Below are 24,987 nucleotides of genomic sequence, written 5' to 3' on the forward strand. Positions count from 1 at the left end.
GATATACAATAGTTGGCCATTATTGTCATTTTTGTTTTGTTTTGTTTGTATAGTTTTATAATTTTTATCTTTCAGGAGAAAGTATTGACTATCTGTAGCAGATAGAATTATAGCCTCCAGAAAGATATATTGAGCCCCAGTCTCTTATTTGGAAAAAGTGTCTTTGCAGATGGAATCAAGTTAAAATGAGGTCATAGCGGATTAGGGTTAGACCCTAAGACCAATGGACTGATGTCTTTATAGGACAATGGATATTTGGACACAGAAAACACAGGAGAGAACACCACGTAAAGATGGAGGCAAAGATTAGAGTGATATGTGTAGAAGTCAAGGAGTGTCAAGGACTGCCAGTAGCCATCAGAAACTAGGAGAGAGGCAAAGAACAGATTCTGCTTCAGAATCTCCAGAAGGAACCAAACCTGCCAACACCTGAATTTTGGACTTCCAGCTTACCGAATTGTGAGAGAATAATTTCTATTTTTTTAGGCCACACAATTTGTGGCAATTTGTTACAGCTGCCCTAGGAAACTAATACAGATTATAGCACCAGAAAGTGGGTTGCTGCTACAACAAACACCTGAAAATATGAAAGTGGCTTTGGAATTGGGTAATGAGTAGAGACTGAAAGAGTTTTGAAGTGCTTGACAGAAAAAGCCCAGATTGCCTTGAAGAGATCATTGGTAGAAATAGGGACATGAAAGGCAATTGTGATGAAGACTCAGAAGAGATGAGAGCTGTAAAGAAAACTTCTATTATTTACAGAATACATATGTTGTCATGGATGGATTTTGCCAGAAATATGAATGTTTCCTCTGGTGATGTCTCAGACAGAGTTGAGAAAAGATGTTACTTGTTATAAAGTGACAGAGAACTTGGCTAAGTTACGGTCTACTGTTGGGAGAAAAGTAGAATTTGTAAGGGATGAACTCGGATATTTAGCTGAGGAGATTTCCAAGCAAAGTGCGGAAGAGACATCCTGGTTTCTCCTTGTTACTTACAGTAAAATATGAGAGGAAAGAGAGAAATGGAGCAAGGAACTGAAAAGCAAAAAAGAAAGCAAGACATGAAGCCAGGTGTGGTAGCTGACACCTGTAATCCTAGTACTTTGGAAGGTCAGGGCAGGCAGATCGCTCAAGCAATCCACCTGTGTCCACCAAAAAACTACGCTCAGGAGTTCAAGACCAGCCTGGACAACATGGCAAAACCCCATCTCTACAAAAAATACAAATAATTAGCCAAACATGGTGGCACGTGGCTGTAGTCCCAGCTACTTGGGGGGCTGAGCCCAGGAGGTCAAGGCTGCAGTGAGCCGAGATCATGCCACTGCACTCCAGCCTGGGTGACAAAGTAAGACCTTGTCTCAAAAAAAAGGAAAAAAAAATAAACCAGGACTTGATGATTTTGGAAAATTCTTAGCCTATCCAGATAGTGTGCTCCAGAGTATGGCTAGAAAACCTCTTGGTGAAGAGATTAGATATGTGACTCATGAATCCAATCAATCATCTCAGCAGAATCACTTCCAGCTTTGACTGAAAGGAACAGAAATGGGATGAAAAGAAGGAAGGTTGTTGGACTTCTGGGATCCTACTAGCAGAAGACAGACCAACAGAGCTAGTTGGCTGCAAGTTCACCTTCAAGAAAAGGACAGAATGACTCTTAAGGGTAGCTCAGAGACCAGCAAGGCCACCAAGGGCAACTCAGAGGCTGGTGGGGCTGTGGCTACCACCACAAGCCCAGACATCACAGGTCCAGATGATGGAGCTACTGTCTGTCTGCTTGGTTTCAGAGGGCAAGGCCACTGCCCCTGTGGGACACAGGGTGGGGCCCCCCTGGCTGGCTCAGAGAACAGAGCACCAGAGAATGAAGGCACAAATGATTATTTTTGGGTTTTGAAATCTAATGGATTCAGCCTGCTTGGTTGCAGACTTACTTTGGACTAGTAACTCCTTTATTCCTTTTATTTTCTCCCTTTTACAGTGGGACTTCTATGGTATGCCTATCCCACCATTTTATTTTGGAAGCAGTTTACTTGTTTTCCAGTGTCATAGGTCTGTAGATGGAGGAGAATTTTGTCCCAGTGTGGTCCATATTCAGAGTCTCACCCATATGTGATTCAGATGATGCTTAGATGAGATTTTGGGTTTAGAGTTGATGCTAGAATGTTAGGATGGAGTGAATGTGTTTTGTATATGGGAAGGACATGAATTTTGGGGGATCAGAGGGTAGGAGAATTGTGTCCACCAGAAAGATACGTTGAAATCCTAATCCCCAGTATCTGTCAACATGACCTTATTTGGAAACAGGGTTTTTGCAAATGTGAACAAGTTAAGATGAGGTTGTGCTGGATTAAGGCAGGCCCTAACCTAGTGAATGATGGGTGTCCTTCAAAGATGAGGGAAATTTAGATACAGTACGTACAGAGAAGGCTGTGTGAAGATGGAGGCAGAGATTGGAGTGATATGTCTGCAAGTGAGTGAACACCAAGCACTGGCAGCATCCACCAGAAGCTAGGAGAGAGGCATGGGACAGATTCTCCCATAGAAGCTCTGGAAGAACCAGCCCTGCTAACACCCACATTTTGGACTTCCAGCCTCCAGAACTGTGAAAGGATGAATTTTTGTTTTTTTAAAACACCTAATTTGTGGTAGTTGGTTATGGCAGCCCTAGGGAACTAATACACTATCTCTAAAAGTTTTTCTGTTAAGAAGGGTATAATAACTAATTAAAGGAGTGCCTTTCAACCTTCAAAAGAGTTTTTCAGCAACTGTTCTCAACTAATCTTCAATTATTTTGTTCTTTATTATTGTTCATGTTCGTATGTGGTATATGAAATTGGCTGTTACTAAAGTATAAGCCAATTTCACAATACAATACTAAAGTATTATATTTGTTTAGGGGAGCTTTTATTAATGCACTAAAAAATCTAAATACTTTTCTGCAATTTTTGAAATTGATTAAATCTTCACAGCACAATATTAGATTTTCAATGTGGATTTGTGGAGTTTTTTTTTTAAGAGTCAGGGTCTTGCACCATCGGCCAGGCTGGAGTGGAATGGCTTAACCACAGTTCACTGCAGCCTTGAACTCGTGGGCTCAGGTGATCTCCCGCCTCAGCCTCCCAAGTAGCAAGGACTATAGGCATGTGCCACCACACAGCTAATTTTTGTATTTTTTGGTAGAGACAGGTTCTCACTATGTTTCCCGGACTGGTCTCAGACTCCTGGGCTCAAGTGATCCTCCCACCTCAGCCTCCCAGAGTGTTGGGGTTGCAGACGTGAGCCACCCAGCCGTTTTAATAGCCTCTTGCAATAATTTTATTTTTCAATGCAGAATTCTCCCCAAAACCTAGAAGTAGAGTTTATATCAGTTTGTATTTATTACTCATAATTCAAATTGTGAGAAATTTCAACTGTGGATTCTTCTAGAAAAAAAAATTTATCATTATTTGAAATTTTTTTCATTATTTCAGTTATTAAAATATTAAAGTTGTTTACTATTTATTTAAGTTAAATTTAAATTATCCAGGTATATAGTTTTGAAGTAAACCCCATTTTTGGAATTTAGAATTTAACTGAAGACAGTTGAGGAGTGATATGTATATATATTACTTTTTCTTGAAATGACATTATTATAACAAAGATAATTTTTAAAGGAAAAATTTAATGCAACCTCAAAAATCCCTCATATTCACAACACCCTGATACAATAACTTTCTTTTTTACATTTCCAAATATATAAATATATACATGAGATACTCAGTTACCATGATTAATAATTATACACAATTCATTTTGTTAAGCATTAAATAGGTCATCTTTAAATAGTAGGCAGCTTCCTGAGAGTATTTTAAAATAAGCAAAAATTGGCTGTCATATTTTTCTAAAGTGAGATTGTTGGCTGTACAAATTCAAGTTCTTAAAATTATTGGGTTATTTTAACTTTTTACTTGTTTCTTTTTCTTTTTTCAGCACATAAATGCCCATCATGCTTATGAATCTCAGATCTCATCAATGGCAAAAGCCATGTCTCGATTAGAAGAAGAGCTGAGACATCAAGAAGATGAGAAAGCAACAGTATTAAATGACTTGTCATCTCTTAGAGAACTTTGCATTAAACTTGATTCAGGCAAAGATATTATGACCCAGCAATTGAATTCGAAAAACCTTGAGTTTGAGAGGGTAAGAAAGATAAATTGTCTTGGCACATTGTTTTATTGAGCCCTACTCTAATTATTTTACTTTAGTATTCACCACACCATGCATATACTTGTTTCCTTTTAGAGTAGTTACTTTTTTTTTTGTGATGGAGTTTTGCTCTGTCGCTTAGGCTGGTGGAGTTCAGTGGTGCGATCTCAACTCACCACAACTTCCGCCTCCTGGGTTCAACCAATTCTCCCTCAGGCATCTCAGGATGCCTCAGCATCCTGAGTAACTGGGATTGCAGGCATCTGCTAACACACCTGGCTAATTTTTGTATTTTTAGTAGAGATGGGGTTTCACCATGTTGGCCGGGCTGGTCTCAAACTCCCAACCTCACGTGATCTGCCTGCCTTGGCCTCCCAAAGTTCTGGGATACAGGCATGAGCTACTGCACCCAGCCTACAATAGTTACTTTTGACTACAGGATTTTGACAACCAGATTTGACTGCTTGATTCTTTGCAAGATTTCTCAGGCAAACGTAGTGATGAAAGTGGGTAATGTTTTGGAATAGATGGCTATCTAGGAGATTATGAATTTTCTGATTATAAATCAGCATATCCTAATACATTCTTTCTCTGTTTAAAAGTAAGACTTGAGGCCAGGTACGATAGCTTACACCCGTAATCCCAACACTTTGGGAAGTCGAGTCAGGCAGATTGCTTGAGCTCAGGAGTTTGAAACCAGCCTGGATAGCATGGCAAAACCCCGTCTCTACAAAAAATACAAAGAATTAGTCAGGCATGTGGCATGTGCCTATAGTCCCAGCTACTCGGGAGGCTGAGGCAGGGAAGGTTCACTTGAGCCCAGGATGTCGAGGCCGCAGTAAGCAGAGATTGTGCCACTGCACTCCAGCTTGGGCAACAGAGTGAGACCTTGTCTCAAAAAAAAAAAGTAAGACTTGAATGAAGGATTGAACAGTTCAGTGCTTCCGAAGTAGAATATTTTTCCCGATAAAAATCTCAAGGTGTTTAAATCTTAATTAAACAAGTCTATTTAGCTAGAATTTACCTTTCCCAGATGGAGGCATTACTTTAAATAACCTAGTGTTTGTTTTCAAACATGGATGTTTTCAATTTTCACTCATCTAGTAGTATCTTTATTTTCAGGTACTGAGAAACTATAATACTGGCTTGATTATGTAGTCAGAGTAAGCATATTCAACCAGAAGGGTCTCATTGCCCTTGTGGTTTTATCTTAATGACCGTCTCTTGATAAGGTACCATGACTAAAAATTATTTGAGGATTTGAGTAGATCCTATAGCCAAATAAGCCCATAGTAAAAATAGCAAAGATTATTTTGAAAATAAAGTGTCTTTCTTATACTTAAAGAAACAGTTCATAATCTTTAACCCATACCCAAAATGAAACAAGTGATAGGTGAATAGTTCCACAGAGCTATATTGTCAGATAAATAATTTTTTCAGAGTAAGTTTAAAATTGTACTGAAGTAATCTTACTTTGTTTTTCACGTAGGTTGTGGTGGAATTAGAAAATGTAAAGTCAGAGTCAGACCTACTGAAAAAACAACTTTCAAATGAGAGACATACAGTTAAAAACCTCGAATCATTGTTGGCTACAAACAGAGATAAAGAATTTCATTCTCACTTAACCTCCCACGAGAAGGATACAGAAATCCAGCTACTTAAGGAGAAGTTAACCCTTTCTGAAAGCAAATTGTAAGTGTCTTAAGTCAACTTATGCAAAGACAATTGCTTGTGAAGGATAGTTTTTTAATTTTTTTGAAGTGGAGGAAAGGTTAAGAGTATGAAAGATAGGCCAGGTGCAGTGGCTCACACCTGTAATCCCAGCACTTTGGGAGGCCAAGGCGGGTAGATTGCCTGAGCTCAGGAGTTTGAGACTAGCCTGGGCAAGATGGCGAAACCCCGTCTATACTAAAAATACAAAAAAAAAAAGCCAGGCGTGGTGGCACACACCTATAGTCCCAGCTACTCAGGAGGCTGAAGCGTGAGAATCACTTGAACCCAGGAGGTGGAGGTTGCAGTGAGCCGAGATTGCACCACTGCACTCCATCCTGGGCGACAGAGCGAGACGCTGTCCCAAAACCAAAATATTTGGCTTATACATCTGCTGCTTTTGGAAATTTAGGAGACTGACTCGGGAGAAACATCGTGTTGGGAGGTGCAGACCTGTATATCTTCACTACAGAGGTTGTACCGTGGGAGTAATGAGAAGAGAAAACGTTAGGAAAGCGCCTACAGTTGAGGAATGGACAGAGGAGTCAGTGAAGGAGAAAGTGTTCTCGGGAGAAGAAGAGGTGGCTGTGTCTTATGCTGTAGATTAGGAAAAAGGACTCTAAAAAGGCTATGAGATTTGACCCACATACATGTATTGATTACTTTGGGAGAGACTGATTATGTCATATTTTTAGAATAGAAGGATTTAGACATATTTGTAGGAAGAGGGAAAGAAACCCAGAGTAGAGTACACATGGAAGAATGAGCTTTTGAAAGGTATTAAAAATATTAATATTTCTCTTTCCAAGGCAAGAGTCAAGAAAGAGCCAATGAAGACACTTTACATCTTGGTGTTACCATTTATGTCTCGTTCAAATTTGTATCCCTAGCATTGCTTTAGTGCTTAGCACATAATAGATGTTCAGTACATGTTTCATAAATAAACTAAATGAATGAAAAAGAAAATGTGATAAAAGCTCTAGAAGTTTAGAGAATTCTTGTTGAAAGGTCTTGATCTTCTCTTTATTAATTTAAAAAACCCACAGCACCTGACTCTACAAAACGGAACGTTTATTTCTTGATTTTTTAATTTGTTTTTAAGAACTAGTCAAAGCCGGGAAAACACCATGCTTCGAGCTAAAGTGGCACAGTTACAAACAGATTATGATGCTCTGAAAAGGCAGATCTCAACTGAAAGATACGAACGGTAAGACAAATTTTTTTTACATTTGACAATGTTTTTATGTGTTCTCTATTGTACTTCAGAAAGTATTTAATATGGCTTTACAAATAACAAACTTTTTAAAAAGCTAATACATAAAGTACATTTCTTTGGTAATTCTTCCTTTTAAAAAAGGCAACAAGTGTTGGGGAAGATAATAGCTCTACAGTAACTAAAATAGCAAGTATTACATAGCGGATGCTATATAAATATTTATTGAATAAAATTGTTTAATAATCTGAAAAATAAGGTAAAATAGGAAGTATTGGATAAATATTTCCTATAGCATTCCGCAGGACAAAATTAGAATCCAAAAGTATTTCAAAGAGTATAGAGAAGCAACAACAATCCCTATAAGAGCTCCAAAATGTATGGTTCAAGTAGGATGTTCCACATACAAATCATAATAAAGGTAATGATTTGAAGATAGTAACAGCAGTTAACAAATGTGGACCAGACACTATATAAGTGTCTGATGAATCCCACCAACAATCTATTATTATGCCTACCTTATAGGAAACTGAGATCACATAAATAGTAAGTGGTAGGAAACCAAACAGATTTTAATTCTAAAACCTGTACCCTTAACCTCTTCAATGTATTCCCTACAGCTTGGTAATTTTCATATTCACTCATATTTTGGTTCATTTGCTTTACGTTGAAAAATTTAATCCCCAGGTGTTACTAACCCGGATTGAGACCTGCTTTAAATCGAAGTCTAACTTGAAAATCAGTTGCCAAGTTACTTGTCTTCCATTACTCTTTCCTACTATATTAATACCATAGACATCTGCATTCCTGAGATTTCATTCTCAATTAGTGGCCAAATTGCTTGTTAGATCAGTTTTTGAGTTATTCTTACCTATTTACGTCAAAACTTTGTAGTGATGTGCTATTTGAAGTATAGTGACAATTTGCTATGAAATCAATATTTACGATTTCATAAAGGCCTGGCTTGGTGGCTCATGCCTGCAATCCCAGCACTTTGGGAGGCCAAGGCAGGTGGATTTACTTGAGCCCACGAGTTTGAAATCAGCGTGAGCAACATGGCAAAACACCATCTCTACAAAAAAATTTTTGAAAATTAGCTGGGGCATGGTGATGGGTGCCTGTAGTCCCAGCTACTCAGGAAGCCGAAGTGGGAGGATTGATTGAGCTCAGGAGGTTGAGGCTGCAATGAGCTGTGATCGTGCCACTGCCCTCCAGCCTGAGTAACAGTGAAACCCTGTCTCAAAAAACAAACAAACCAACAAAAAAGTAAGCCGTAGGTAGCAGCAGTGACATGAAAGCAGGATTGATAATTTCTTGTAATTTAGAAGATCTAGTTTCTGAATGTACTAAACTGTACATATATAATGATTTCCATTTCTTAAGGATAACTTAAATTCTCTGCAAATCAAAAGTCCTAAATCAAGCTCTCTATTGCCCAGGCTTATAGACTTCCCCACAGTTCCTCCCCTTGTTCCTTGCCTCAACGAAACCTTGAGCCTCATGACCATGTCTTTCTTGCTCTTTACTATCCACCTACATCATACATTCTCATCGGTGCAGTATTACCCACCATCCTCCAAGGGAAAAAATTGTTTCTTGGGGGTAGGGAATAGAGGTAGCAAAAAAATTTTAGGTTGTATAAGTTAGTAGAATGGTTTATGTCCCTCCAAAGGGCCACAGGACATAAGCAGTGTATTAAAATTTCATGGGATGGAGGGATAATCTGGGGAGGAAAAAGTCTAGAAAAGTTCCTTTGGGAGAGTAGTACTGAAGAAATCTTGAGAAGCACTGAACTAATTAGAAATCTCAGGTACTGAAGAACTCAAGTTCTTTAAGAGTCTAGGCCAGAGACTATGAATAGCCCACAAAGGAGATGGCAACATAATCCCCATTCTTGGTGGGGACATACCCAGACACAGGGAAGGAAAGTATGATGGAGAAAATAGGATTCTTTCCAATCTGACTTTTGGGAGTTTTGAGACAGGAAGACGGAAGAGGGCTAGATATATGTGCAAGACGATATGGTAGGCCTGGCATGGTGGTTCGTGCCTGTAATCCCAGCACTTTGGGAGGCTGAGGCAGGAGGATCACTTGAGGCCAGGAATTTAAGACCAGCCTGGGCAATATAGTGTGACCCCTAGCTCTAAAAACATTCTAAAAATTAGCTGGGCATGAAGGTGCACAGCTGTAGTCCCAGCTCCTCAGGAGGCTGAGGCAGGAGGATCGCTTGAGGCCAGGAGTTCAAGACCAGCCTGGGCAACATAGTATGACCCCTATCTCTAAAAACATTTTAAAAATTAGCTGGCCATGAAAGTGTGCACCTGTAGTCCCAGCTCCTCAGGAGGATGAGGCGGGAGGATCGCTTGAGCCCAGGAGTTTGAGATATGATTGTACCACTGCACTTGAGTCTGGGCAATAGAGCAAGTCCCTGTCACAAAAAAAAAAAGAGAGAATTAGTAACCCTAGCTATGGGGAACATCAAAGTATAGGCAGGAGAAAAGGATCCAGTAACAGAGCTAAGGAGAGATCATCTAGGTAGAAAGAGAACCAGAAGATGTAGTGTCATGCAAGCTAAGGGTGGTTAGTAGAACCAAATCCCACAGAAGGGTCTAGCATCTGGGCATTTAATTTTTAAGAACACATTAAACAGGTTTGTTATAATTTTTTTAAGTATAAAGAAGAAAATTAAATTTATCTGTAAGTTCTACCCTCCATAGTCACCATTAGCCTTTTTGAGTTTAACATCTCGTCATCTAGTTTTTGTGTGTGTCTATCTGTGTGTTCAGTTGGTATCCTATTTATTTTCACTATATATAATATGTATTATAATTAATATAACATAGTAATATGTAATATATAATACATATAATATATAATATACTAATATAATATATATCACATAATATATATATAATATACTGTATATTATATGTAATATATATTGTATCATATATAGTATATCATATATAGTATATTATATATAGTATATTGTATTTTATATAGTATATTTATATATTACATAATATATAATGCATTATATAATACATATATAGACATATAATATATAGTACTTATATATTATATAATATATGATATATAATGTAATATATATAATATATATTATAAGTAGTGGATAAAAGATTTTAATTAAAATGTACTATAAGATTGTTCAAAGCAATTATAAATATTATATAATATATTGTATGTTATATATTTATAATATGTATTTTACATATTATATGTTATATATTGTATATTTTATAATATATGTTACATATATTATATATTATATAATTAGTATATTAGTATTAGTTATATGGTATAGTATATAGTATATTAGTATATATATAATTAGTATAATTAGTATATCAGTATTACTATTAAATTTAAATCCTATGTCTTTGTATGATTTTTAAGTAGCGGATAAAAGATTTCCATTAAAAGAATATGCACTATAAGAGATTGTTCAAAGCAATTAGGTCATTAAAATAATACCTTAGAAGCAAGATGCTCCTCACTATATATATATATTTAATTTTTTAATTGAAATATTTTATCCACTACTTAAAAATTGTACAAAGACATAGGATTTAAATTTAATAGTAATACTAAGTAATTTATTACAAATTAGCTAATAACTCTTATATTTGTTTGCCACTTTTTGATTTTCCCTGGTGCTTGAATATATCTCTCTTGTTTGATCTTTACTAACAGAGAACGAGCAATCCAAGAGATGCGTCGACATGGTCTTGCTACACCACCCCTTAGTTCCACTCTGAGGTCTCCTTCACATTCTCCTGAACATAGAAATGTGTAATTATCAGAAAGGTATGTATGTAACACCAAGGACAGGCAAAACTAATCTGTGGTTGTAAAAATTCAGAAAGTAGTTTTCTGCATCAGGAAAGGGGAGATTGCCTGGTAAGGCGTTCAGGAGAACTTCCTGGAGTAATGGAAAAGTTCTATATCTTGGTGATAGTAGTTATGTGGGTATATACAATTGTAAAAATTCATAAAACTGACCATTTACAGTGTATGCTTTTTTTTTTTTTTAAGAGATGGGGTCTCGGCCAGACACAGTGGCCCACACCTGTTATTCCAGCACTTTGGGGAGGCTGAGGCTGGAGGATCACCTAAGGCTAGGAGTTTGAGACAAGCCTGGGCAACACAGTGAGACCTCCACCTCTACAAAAAATACAAAAATTAGCCAGGCATGGTGGCACACACCTGTAGTCCCAGGTACCAGCTGCTGGGGAGGTGGGGGAGGATACTGAGGCAGGGGGATGGCTTGAGCCCGGAAGGTTGAGGCTGCAGTGAACTGTGATTGCACTATTACAGTCCAGTATGCATGACAAAGCAAGCAGCTATCTCCAAAAAAACAAAGAGTTCTCACTATCTTGCCTGGGCTGGCCTCAAACTCCTGGGCTCAAGCAGTCCTCCCACCTCAGCCTCTTGAGTAGCTGGGACTACAGGCTGGTCCATGCATTTTATCGTATATAAATTATACCTGAATTTAAAAAGAGAAGACATCTACAGCATAACGTTAAATGACAATATGAGCTATCACAGGATATTATTTGATGAAGGGCTAAATTCAGGCTACAAATAATAGGTAGTAAAAATGTAGACAAAGCATAGAAACAGTAGTACACATGGTACAGTAGTAACCTGGCAGGAAGGGCAGGCTGTGGGGGAATAATGAGGGAGAGAGGTTTGGAAGGTAGAGTGGGATATATAGAGTATTATATTGAATGTGAAGCTAAATTAGAGATTGTGGACTTTATTCTGTAAGTCAAAAGGAACGTGAACGTCAGTCCTCCTGTGTATAGGATGGGTACAAGGGAAGGGTCAAGATGAAATAACTGTTTCTGGTAGATTAATTTCACAACTGTGTTTGAACCATATTGGAAAGGATAGGAACTAGAGGTAGAGAGACCAGTAAGTGGTATGAAATGAGCAGTATAATAGTTCAGGATTAGTATAATAACATTGAAAGCTAGGACATAATTTTTAAAGTAAACCATGAAATATATACAGAAAGGTACCATATCATAGATACATAGTTCAATGAATTTTTTCAATGAACAAATTGAACACATCCAGGTAACCTGCATGAAAATCAAAAAAAAAAAAAAATAGGCCAGGCACGGTGGCTCACACCTCTGTAATCCCAGCACTTTGGGAGGCCGAGGCGGGTGGATCACTTGAGGTCAGGAGTTCAAGACCAGCCTGGCCAACATGGTGAAACCCCGTCTCTACTAAAAACAGAAAAATTAGCTGGGCATGGTGGCACGCACCTGTAGTCTTAGCTACTTGGGATGCGGAGGCAGGAGAATTGCTTGAACCCAGGAGGCAGAAGTGGCAGTGAGCCCAGATCGCGCCACTGCACTCCAGCTTGGGTGACAGAGTGAGACTCCATCCAAAAAAATAAAATATAAAGCCTGGCACAGGAGACTGAGGTTGCAGGACTACTTGAGCCCAGTTCAAATCCAGTCTGGACAACAAAGCAAAACCCCATCTCAAAAAAACAAAACAAAAACAAAACAAAACTAACTTCTCTTTGGCGTCAGTCATAAGCCCTGGTCTAAAAGTAACTGTCCTGACTGTTAAAAGTGTAGATTTCTTTTTGCTTACTTTTAGACATTTTATAAATGAAATCATGTTCCTGGCTTCTTTTTCTCAACAGTACATTTGTGAGATCCATCCATATTGTTGTGTGTACTTGTAGATTGTTCACTCTTGTTGCTGTGTATGGAATGCCATTATGGAAACTTACTACAATCCAATTACTCCTCCTTCTGTTCATAAGCACTTGGCAGTTTCCAGTTTGGGCTATTACAAATAGTGCTATGGTTATACTTAGAAGTGAAATTGATGGATCACTGGATATGTGTATGTTCAAGCTCTAGGAGATATGGTAAACTGTTTTCCAAAGTAGTTGTAAAGTGCCAGGATGCATTTGACTGAGGAAGGATCAAAGGGATGTGCTGATTCACTGGAGATGGGAATGAGTGGGAAAGAAACATGAGTCAGACCCAGGCTTTGACAGGTAGTGACTGTGGAAAATGCATACTCATTGACAGAAATAGTTATGCCAGTCTTGTTTAAATTGATACATTTCTTTGCCTCTTTTGATAGAAATATATAGAAGATAATTAAACATTTCCTCTGACTCAGAATCCTCATTGTGAACATTAGTTATGTGCTATTCTTTGACGTACTGATGCCCTCAAGTTTGTAGGGCCTTGGTTTAAATGATTCCTGATTGCTCTGCTTCTGCTTTTGTGTTTGATTAGGGCATTTATTTTTCTCTTTCACTTTGAGGACCACTTCTCAGTGTTCACTGTAGTCACTGTGTCCTTCTTGAATTGCTGTGTTATTTTCATGTGATCAGATGGTGGTTCACCTTCTTGTTACAAAGGATTGTAAGAATGTGACACAGACATTTTCTCATGTTTGATTCACAGCTGCAGTTTAGATCAGGGGTTGGTTGGTAAACTAGGATCTGCAAGCCAAATCCATACCACTGCCTATTAGTGTAAATTAAGCTTTATTGGAGCACAGCCACACCCATTTGTTAACAGATTGTCTAAGACTGCTTTACTACAGTGGCAGAGTTGAGTAGTTTTGACAGACCCCATGTCCCACAAATCTAAAATATTTACTGCCTGTCTCTTGACATCATGTAGCTCTGGAAAACTCAACTGTAGACCTGTAAGAAAATAAGAGTGAAAGGCAAATAATTCCTTGGTTTTATGAAAATAGGCTTGACCTTGTAGAGTCTCTGAAAGTATTGGGGATTCTCAGGGATCCCCAGACTGCACTTTAAGAACTACTGATATGGAACATAGATTCCTGCAGTCCCTGAAACTGTGATGAATTAGACACTGCATTTTTGTTTTGTTTTGTTTTGTTTTTAGAGCCAGGGTCTCACTCTGTCACCCAGGCTGGAAGGATGTGGCATGGTCATAGCTCACTGAAACCTCAAACTCTCCTGAGCTCAAGCAATCCTCCCGCCTCAGCCTCCTGAGTAGCTGGGACTACAGGCACGCCACCACACCCATCACCACTATCTAATTCTAAGATTTTTTTATCTCCCCAAACAGAAATTCTGTACCCATTAAACAATCACTCTCCAATCCCCAGACCTTAACCTTCCCAGCTCCTAGTAACTTCAGATCTACTTTTCTGGTCTCTATGAATTTGCCTATTTTACATTTTCATATAAGTGAAATCATACATGTGTTCTTTTGTATCTGGCTTATTTCACTTAGAATAATATTTTCCAGGTTCATCCATATTGTAGGATATACCACATTTAAAAAATCCTTTTGTCAGTTGAAGACACCTGGGTTGTTTCTATCATATGGTTATTGTGAGTAATGCTGCTCTGAGCATTGGTGTACAAGTATCTGTTTTAGTCCTTGTTTTCAAATCTTTTAGTATATACCTGAGACTAGAATTGGTGGGTCATATGGTAATTCTGTTAAACTTTTTGAGGGACTGCCAAACTGTTTTCCACGTGCTGCACCATTTTATATTTCCACCAGCAATGCATGAGGGTTCCTGTTCTCCACATCGTCACCAACACTTGTTATTTTCCACTTTTTAATTACAATAATTCTAGTACATGCAGATTAGAAAGCTTTTATAATCATCAACAAACTCATAATTTATAACTTTGTAATAATTTACAATTAATTTTTGAGGTATATTAATGAGATTGTTATTTACTAATCCATTTCCCCTCGTATTTTCTAAATATTGTCACCAAAACTAATTTTAAGGGATTTCCCCAAGCACTCAGAAATGAATTGCTCAAGGAAAAAAAAAAAAATGAATTGCTCAACTATAAAATGGCATCTCAGATTAGTGTCTCTCTGATAGTTAAATAGACAATCCAACTTTTATTATTTGTTTTTTGACTATCATATCTAATGCATGCTATTTGAGATAGGAAAAGCCTATAAAAGTGTTTTTCCGATTCTCATACACCACTCAGCATACCACTTCAGACACTGTATTCTCCAGCAGACACCAATTGATCTCAATTTTAACATTTAACTCAATTCTGACATTATCTGCCTGGAGATAGTGTCAGATCCCACAGATCAAGAGCCCAATCCCACAAATCCCTTCCCCTCGACTTCAGATGCCAATAGCAAGTCCCAGGTTGTGATCTGTGCTTCTGACTGAAGAGGTTTCCACAGCCCCCTCATCACATTCTATTAATTTGCTAGAGCAGCTCACAGAACTCAGGGAAACATTTTTACATTTACCTGCTTATTGAAAAGGTTATTATAAAGGATACAGATTAACAGGCAAGTGGAAGGGATGCATAGGGCAAATTATCAGGAAAGCAGCTCAAAGCTTCTGTGCCCTCTCAAGGCGCGCCACCCTGTAAGCATCGCCAAGTGTTCAGCTTTCTGAAAGGTTCCTGAACCCAGTTTTTGGAGGTTTTATGCAGGTATCACTAAGTAGATATGATCGATTAAATCATTAGCCATTCATGATCAATTCAACCTTCAGCCCCTCTCCTCTTTTTGGAAGTTGAGGTGTGGAGCCAGTGGCCCAATTCTCTAATCATGCATTGGTCTTTGTGGTGATCAGCTCCCATCCTGAAGCTATTTAGTGGCCTCTAGCCACCAGTCATCTCATTAGCTTGCAAAAGACAAAATTATCACTCTGGAGATTACAAGGAGCTGTGGGCCAAGAACCAGGGGCAGAGACCCAATATATACAGTCATGCATTGCTTAACAACAGGGGATATGTTCTGAGAAATTTGTTTTACATGATATTGTGCAAATGTCATAGAATGTATGTACTTACACAAACCTAGATGGTATATAGCCTACTGCATACCCAGGCTATATGGTATAGCCTCTTGCTCCTAGGCGATAAATCTGTACAGCATGTTACTGTACTGAATACTGTAGGCAGTTGTAACACAATGGTATTTGTGCATCTAAACAGAGAAAACATACAGTAAAAATGTGGTTTAAAAGATAACAAATGGTACACCTATATAGGAGACTTACCACAAAGGGAGCTTGCAGGACTGGAAGTTGCTCTGGGTGAGTCAGTGAGTGAGTGGTGAGTGAACGTGAAGGCCTAGGACATTCCTGTTCACTGCTATAGACTTTATAAACACTGTATACTTAGCTACAATAAATTTATTGTTTTAATTTTCTCCAATAATAAATTAACCTTAGCTTACTGTAACTTTTTTCCTTTATAAACTTTTGTTTTACTTTTTAAAGTGTTTTTCTAAAAGCAATGACACAAACACACACATTATCCTAGGCCCACATAGAGTCAGGATCATCAATATCACTGTCTCCTGCCTCTACATGGTGCCCCACTGAAAGGTATTCAGGGGCAATAACATTTACGGAGCTGCCATCTCCTGTGATAACAGTGCCTTCTTCCGGAATACTTCCTGAAGGACCTGCCTGAGGCTGCTTTATAGTCAACATTTATTTTTTAATGAGTAAGAGTACACTTTAAAATAATGATTAAAAGCATAGCATAGTAAATACTAAGCAATAGGAAGTTTTCAGTTCTGTTATAATCTTATGGGACCACAGTCTTTTATGCAGTCTGTCATTGACCAAAATATCATTATGGAACATATGACCATATTTCTGTGTGTGTGTTTTGTTTTGTTTTGTTTTAGAGACAAGGTCTCGCGGTCTCGCTCTGTTGCCCAGACTGGAGAGGTGCAGTGTGCCATCAGAGTTCACTGTAGCCTTGAACTCCTGGGCTCAAGCAGTCTCCCACCTTGGCCTCCTGAGTAGCTGGGACTACAGGTGTGTGCCACCATACCCAGCTAATTTTTGTATTTTTTTATAGATACTGGGTCTCACTATGTTGTCCAGACTGGTCCTGAACTCCTGGGTTCAAGCGATCCTCCTGCCTCAGCCTCCCAAAGTGCCGGGATTACAGGCATGAGCCACTGCACCCAGCCTGTGTTTCTTGTTATAATGCAGTATCACACAGACTCACTGAGGAAACATAAAATACAGAGATATATAAATAAGGAAACAAAAATCACTTTTTTAAACAAAAGTATAAGCCAGGCAGGGTAGCTCACACCTGTAATCCCAGCATTTTGGGAGGCCAAAGTGAGAGGATCACTTGAGTTCAGGAGTCTGAGACTAGCCTAAACAACATCGTAAGACCTCATCTATACTAAATACCAAAAAAAATGAGCCAGGCATGGTGATGTGCACCTGCCTGGAGGCTGAGGCAGAAGGATCACTTGAGTATGGGAGATCAAGACTGCAGTGAGCTATGATCACGCCACTGCACTCCAGCCTGGGCAACACGGCAAGACCCTATCTCTAAATAAATAAATAAATAAATAAATAAAATAAAGTACAATGAATAAAACAGTACTTGAACTTTCAGAAGTAGAACAGTACTTCTTAAATATAACTGGATGTGGGGCACAGAGTTTTATTAGATTCTATAATTTCATTTATAACATTATTGAATTTCAGTTTTTTATGAATATGTTGAATAACTTTATCATTTTTCTCTTAACCCACCTTTCAATTTCCTCCCTTTCAGAATAATGGCTTTCAATGAGTTCCTATGTGGATTTTTAAAAGAACAGAACAGTAATGAAATATTTGAAGTACTTGTTGCTGAAAATCATGAACATGGACACAAATTCTACCTCTGTCAACTTTTATTTAAATCAGTGAATATGTTAAAAAGTTTGGTTTAAAAGAACTATATCTATATGTATATTTTCATATATATGACAGAACAAGAATATGTATTAATAGTGCCTAATGTATCTATATTTTTATTATTCATGAATTAAATTACTAAAAGTATGTTTATACTGTGAATTAATATAATGTATTCACATTATTCTTTAATAATCTGTTTATTAATAAGCCATGATATGTGTATGTAAATATTCTTACAGTACTTGTTTTTAGTTGTCATGCCTATGTTTAGACCATATCTTAATGTATTCACAAAGAATTATCAACTTTGATGCTATGCTGTCATGCTTAACTTTTTCTTCTTAAAATTATTCATAGATCTACTGTCTGTTGTCAAGGGGAATATATTCAGGTCTAGTCTTCTTATAATAGCAGAGGTCTTGGTAAAATAACTACCATATATAACGTGTTATTGCCATCTAGAAGAACTATGATGAGAAAGATACATTTATATATTATGTAAAATGTTAACTATCATCATATGGACTCTATGTAACACAAATTCAAAAGCAAACTAAAAGCTATATGCAGAGTTTTGTATAAAACAATAGAACAGAAATTTGGGACATTTTTCTAGGAAATAAAATTCCTCGGTGTATTAATCTAAGGTTTCAAAGTATAAAAGTATATGGGGTAGGCCGGGTGCAGTGGCTCACGCCTGTAATCCCAGCACTTTGGGAGGCCGAGGCGAGTGGATTTCCTAAGGTCAGGAGTTTGAGACCAGCCTGAGCAATGTGGTGAAACCCCATCTCTACTAAAAATACAAAAATTATCTGGGCTTGGTGGCGGGCACCTGTAATCCCAGCCACTTGGGAGGCTGAGGCAGGAGAATTGCTTGAACCCGGGAGGTGGAGGCTGCGGTGAGCCAAGATCATGCCATTGCACTCCAGCCTGGGTGACAGAGTAACACTCTGTCTCAGAAAAAAAAAAAAAGAAAAATATATGGGGTAAATACAGTAAAACGTTTTGTTAAATTCCAATATACATTCAGTGATACCACTCTTTTTCTTCTAAGCCTGTGTGTTATAATTTACCAGTTCCCCAAAATGCCATTTTTAACGCCGAACTGTGTAATATACATGGAAAACAGCTTTTTACAATTAATTTTCAAAGTTGTAATTTTAAAGAATTTGGGTGTATACCTATGTTAATGAAACAACAGAAGTACAAAAAAGAATATCAGATACAAAAATCAATCGTGAAGAAAATCTGTTCTTAATATATTTCATTATGATTGAAAAACATAAAAACTAACATAGGAAAGTGAATGATCAGTTACTTATGATATATTTTGTTTCCTCTTGTGGTTTAATAAAGTGAAGTGTGTGTGTGTGTGTGTGTGTGTATACCTGGGGGTGGGCAGTGCTCTTTTTCTAAAACTAATATGGCTTATATATCTGAATTATGCCCTTTTTAGTGTGTATTAGGATGTGGGCTGGTTTGCTTTTCTACCACCTTTGTAATTTTATGTATCCCATCTCCTTTGTGTGAATTCATATATTATAGCAAAATACAAGAGACATGGGACTGTTTGCAATACCATATGGAAATCTTTTAATAAATATATGTAAATAAAATAAAAAATATTTGTCTCCACCTTTTCCCCAAAAGCAACAGCAAGACATATTTTGTTAGATATTTTATTTTTAATGTTTTCTATAATTTAAAAATGTATAGCCTGCCAAATGTTGTTTTCATAACCATGATATTGTTTTGAAAAAATTTTATCTTAAAATACTGAATGTTCTGACCTTTTATAGATGTTTTTGATTTTGTTTTAAATAATTTTAAATTATGGAGCTTGACCTAGATTTGCCAATAAACTTTCTAGCCTATTTATTTTCTCTTTCTTACAAATAAGGTTTTTATAATTTTATATTAGGGATACTCTTAATTCTAAAATTAAGTAAAGTTTATTCAAATCAAACTTTATCATGGTGGGATATGGACAAATCCCTGAACATAGGTGCCAGGCACCTTTCTTAACTGACTTTTATTTCCATTTAGTTCAAAATAATAAGAAATGAAGCCAAAGTTTATTTTTGTTATCTGTCCACAAAATGGTTAAACGTGTGTGCGTATGAATATACGCTCTTCTCACTTGCAAATGCTCTTTGTTGAGCACATTGACTCCCATTAGACTATGACACCTGTTGCCGTACCTTATTGTAATTCATCATACAAGTGATCTCATACTTCTCTCCCTAATTCTTAGAAGACTTTAGCAAGTGGCTTACTATCTTTCTACCATTAGTTCTATTATCAGCCTTTTTATATCAGTATCTTCTTGGGCCAATGGTTATTGACTATACCTGCACATTGTAGTTATCTGGAGAATTTTAATGAATAACTGATGTCTGAACCCCTACACCAGACCAAATATATCAGAAATTCTGCAATTGAAGTATGGTCTTTTAAAAATTTTTAAACTTAAAATTGACATATAATGTACATATTTATGAGGTACGTAGTGATGTTTCAATACATATATTGTGATCTAATCATTGTAATTAGCATATCCATCATCTCATTTATCATTTTGTGTTGAGAACATTCAGTATCCTCTTCCTAGACATTTGAAGCCATATATTAACTATAGTCACCCTGCAGTGGTAGAGAATACTAGGAACTTCTTCTTCCTATCTAGCTATAATTTTGTATCCTTTAGCAAATGTCTCCCTATTGCTCCCTTTCCCCTATCCTTCCCAGCCTCTAGTATCCTCTATTCTACTTTTTACTTCTGTGAGATCTTTTTTTTAGCTTATACATACGAGTGAGAACATGCAGTGTTTAACTTTCTGTTTCTCACTTATTTCACTTAATTAACAATGTCCTCCAGTTCCTTCCATGTGACTGAGAATGACATGATGGTGGTTTTGTTTGTTTGTGTGTTTTTAAGGTCCCCTACAAGACTGTTATGTTCAGCAGGGTTAATAATGTTAATTTAAGAGGCTGATCCATCAAATTGATTTCATGACCCACTAATGGGACTTAACATATAGTTTTGAAGAACACTGCTTTAGATCTTGTCGTCACCTCCACAGTCCCAATTTCTAGCATCCTACTCACCCCTCTTTCTAGGTTACTGTTTTGATTATGAATATACCAACAATTCTTTGACTCCACTAGGTTCTTCAGACAATTGATTCTATCATCTATCACTTATCTATAATTTCATCACCCTCACTTTCTTTTTTTTAATGTTTGTTTATTTATTTAGAGATGGGGTGTCACTCTGTTGCCAGGCTGGAGTGCAGTGGCATGATCTCGGCTCACCGCAGCCTCCATCTCCTGGGTTCAAGCGATTCTTCTGCCCCAGCCTCCCGAGTAGCTGGGACTACAGATGCGCACCACCACACCCAGCTAATTTTTGTATTTTTAGTAGAGATGGGGTTTCACCATGTTGGCCAGGATGGTATCAATCTCTTGACCTCATGATCCACCCGCCTCGGCCTCCCAAAGTGCTGGGATTACAGGTGTGAGCCACCACTCCCAGCCCATCACCCTCACTTTCTTTAGCATAGACATCATTGTCCTTGCACATCCCCTAAATTCTTATCCTTCTGATCTGAAAAACATCCAGCTGCTTGCATCTATACCTACTGACTCTTTTTACTTTAAATTTATGGCCCTGAAAATCAAAGGCCCGCAGCACTGTGTGACAATCCTTATACACTGTTCTGATCAATTCACACTTAACCTCTCCCCAACAAGTATTCTCCTCTTTATTCAGACCTTCTATGCTTCTCTCACTTTGTTTCTTTTTTTTCTATGAGACAAGGGAAACAATAGAAAAGAAATTTCTCACTCTCCAAATCTATCAACGTGTTCTCTATCCAACTAATTTTCTTTCTTCCTATTAGGACATGAACCATCTCTACCCTTTAGCCATTCTGTCTAGTTGTGATCAGTAGCCATCTCTTCTACTGGAAAGACTTCTGTCAGGTATGGTGGCTCAGCCTATAATTCCAGCACTTTGGGAGGCTGAGGCAGGAGGATCACTTGAGCCCAGGAGTTCGAGACCAGCCTCGGCAACATAGGGAGACCTCATCCAGAAAATTTAAAAAAAATTAGCTGGGCATGATGGCGTTCACCTGTAGCCCCAGCTATTTGGGAGGCTGACGTGGGAGCACCACTTGAGCCCAGGAAGTTGAGGCTGCAGTGAGCTGTGATTGTGCTACTGCACTCTAGCCTGAACACAGAGTGAGATACCCTGTCTCAAATTAAAAAAAAAAAAAAAAAAAACCCACATTCCTGAGTCATTTTTGCTCTATTGGCTTGTTCTCACTTGCATATATACCTCCCATTTTTAATCTCCCATTTTAAAACCTTCCCAGGCCCTACCATTCCATTTTTGTACCCTTTATAGCAAAAATTCCCAGAAAAGAGTTATCTAACTCATGTCATCTCCCCCTTAACACCCACCTTTCTTGAACTACTGCAGTCATGCTTAAATTCCCATTACTCCAGTGAAACAGTCCTCATGTTGTCAAATCTGATGGATCACCATCAGTCTTCTGTTTACTCCATTTCTCAGCAGCATTTGACATACTGATTTTTCCATTCTTTAAAAAAGATTCTCTTTAGCCAGGCGTGGTGGCTTACACCTGTAATACCAACACTTTGGGAGGCCAAGGCAGGCGGATCACCTGAGGTCAGGCGTTCTAGACCAGCCTAGCCAACATTGTGAAACCCCGTCTCTACTAAGAACACAAAAAGTAGCCAGGTGTGGTGGCAGGTGTCTGTAATCCCAGCTACTCAGGAGGCTGAGGCAGGAGAATTGCTTGAACCCGGGAGGTGGAGGTTGCAGTGAGCCGAGGTTGCACCATTGCACTCCAGCCTGGGTGCCAAAAGCAAAACCCTGTCTCAAAAAAACAAAAACTAACAAACAAAAAATGGCCAGGTGTGGTGGCTCACACCTGTAATCTCAGCACTTTGGGAGTCCGAGGTAGGTGGATCACCTGAGGTCAGGAGTTCGAGACTAGCCTGGCCAACATGGTAAAACCCCATCTCTACTAAAAATACAAAATTAGCTGGGTGCGGTGGCACACGCTTGCAGTCCCAGCTATTCGGGAGGCTGAGACAGGAGAATTGCTTGAATCCAGGAGACAGAGGCCACAGTGAGCTGAGATGGTGCCACTGCACTCCAGCCTGGGCAAGACAGAGCAAGACTCTGTCTCAAAACAAAAACAAAAACAAAAAAAAACATATTCTTCATTTTGCCTCCCCAGTACCAAACCATCCTGGTTCTTCTTACTGGTTTTTCAGTTTCTTTTATTGTATTTACTAACATTTCCTGACTTTTTTTTTCATTTGATGAGGGTTTTTTTTGTGGTAAACATACCATACAAATTATCGTTTTACCCATTTTTAATTGTACAGTGCAGTAGTGTTAGGTTTATTCACATGATTGTGAAATATCTTCTCAACTTTTAAAGGAGTATCCTAGGGTCTTAGTTCATCTCTACTTACTCTCTTGTTAACTTCAGAATTTATCTCTTCAGTTTCTGCCTTTTTTTTCTGAATTCTAGGCACATATATCTAAGTACCTGCATTAGCTGTTTCTCACATTGCTATAAAGATACTACCTAAGACTGGGTAGTTTATAAAGAAAGGAGGTTTAATTGACTCGCAGTTCCACATGGCTGGGGAGGCCTCAGGAAACTTACAATCATGGCGGAAGGTGAAGGGGAAGCAAGGCACATCTCACATGGTGGCAGCAGAGAGAGAGAGAGAGAGCACAAGCACAAAGAGGGCAGTACCACACACTCAAACCATCAGCTTGTGAGAACTCACCATTATGAGAACAGCAAGGGGGAAATCTGCCCTCATGATCCAATCACCTCCACCAGGTCCCTCCCTCCATACATGGGGATTACAATTCGAAAGAAGATTTGAGTGGGGGACACAGCAAAACCATATCAGCACCTATTCAATATCTCCACTTAACCCAAAGTCACAGTAAACAGCTAAGTAAATCGTACCACCATTGTATTAGTCTGTTCTCACACTGCTATAAAGAAATCCCTGAGGGGGTAATCTGTGAAGAAAAGAGGTTTGATTGGCCACAGTTCTGCTGGCTGTACAGGAAGCATGGCACTGGCATCTGCTTCTGAGGAAGCTTCAGGAAGCTTTTACTCATGGTGGAAGGCAAAGCGGGAACAGGCCCCTTACATGGCAGGAGCAGGACAGAGAGAGCAGAGAGGTGCTACACACTTTTAAACAGCCAGATCTCATGAGAATTCACTCAATATACAGAACCAAAGGGTAAATGGTGCTAAACCATTCATGACAACTTTGCCCCCATGAGCCAATCACCTCCCACCTGGCTACACCTTCAGCATCAAGGATAAGACTTCAACACCTATTTAATCCAAACAACAGGCTAGGACCAAACCTGTTCAATTTGTCTCATATAATATTTAATTAAGGTGAATATCAATAGGAATCCAAGCAGCAGGAAGAGGCCAGCTAGCAGTATTAGCCTCATTCATGCCTCCCAGGAGTCTAGACATAGCCAACTGTGAATACCTACCATGGTGAGAGCAGAGGGTGTTATTTTATTCATCCAGAACGTAGCCTAAAGCCAATCTGTTACCCGTCATGACGCATGCAGTTTAGACTGATCTGAGAATCTTGGATGCCATTGACAAGCAGACAATAGATGAGCCAGAAAGCAGCACTCATCCACAGTGGAGAGAGTCCATGGCTCCGTCTCCCCCATGTACAAACGTATAACCCAAAAGGTCCCCAGTCACTCCAGTTTGGGTTTTGTGGATCATGGGCTGGTTAAGACACATGGACTATCCAGGTGTGGTGGCTCACACCTGTAATCCCAGCACTTTGGGAGGCCAAGGCAGTTGGATCACCTGAGATCAGGGGTTCGAGACCAACCTGACCAATATGGTGAAACCCCATCTCTACTAAAAATACAAAAATTAGCCAGGCATGGTGGTGCACACTTCTCATTCCAGCTACTCAGGAGGCTGAGGCAGGAGAATCGCTTGAACCAGGAGGCAGAGGTTGCAGTGAGCCAAGGTCGCGTCACTGCATTCCAGCCAGGGTGACAAGAGTGAAACTCCATCTCAAAAAAAAAAAAAAAGACAAAGACACATGGACTATGTCACTGAGTAGTTGCAG

At 38.5% G+C, this 24,987-nt stretch overlaps 1 protein-coding gene across 4 annotated transcripts in view; it reads left to right on the plus strand.

The window, feature by feature from the left end:
• The window catches only part of CEP135 (centrosomal protein 135), an 84,417-nt gene extending 64,735 nt beyond the window's left edge, over positions 1-19,682 (plus strand). For all 4 annotated transcript variants that reach the window (NM_025009.5, XM_006714055.4, XM_005265788.5 and 1 more), the window contains 5 exons: positions 3,969-4,178; positions 5,674-5,876; positions 6,997-7,101; positions 10,822-10,935; positions 17,681-19,682. In NM_025009.5, coding sequence (NP_079285.2) covers positions 3,969-4,178; positions 5,674-5,876; positions 6,997-7,101; positions 10,822-10,924 — 621 coding nt within the window. In that variant the 3' untranslated portion in view covers positions 10,925-10,935; positions 17,681-19,682. The remainder of the gene's footprint in view (positions 1-3,968; positions 4,179-5,673; positions 5,877-6,996; positions 7,102-10,821; positions 10,936-17,680) is intronic.

Source organism: Homo sapiens, chromosome 4, assembly GCF_000001405.40.
Source record: "Homo sapiens chromosome 4, GRCh38.p14 Primary Assembly".
NCBI classification, from domain to species: domain Eukaryota; kingdom Metazoa; phylum Chordata; class Mammalia; order Primates; family Hominidae; genus Homo; species Homo sapiens.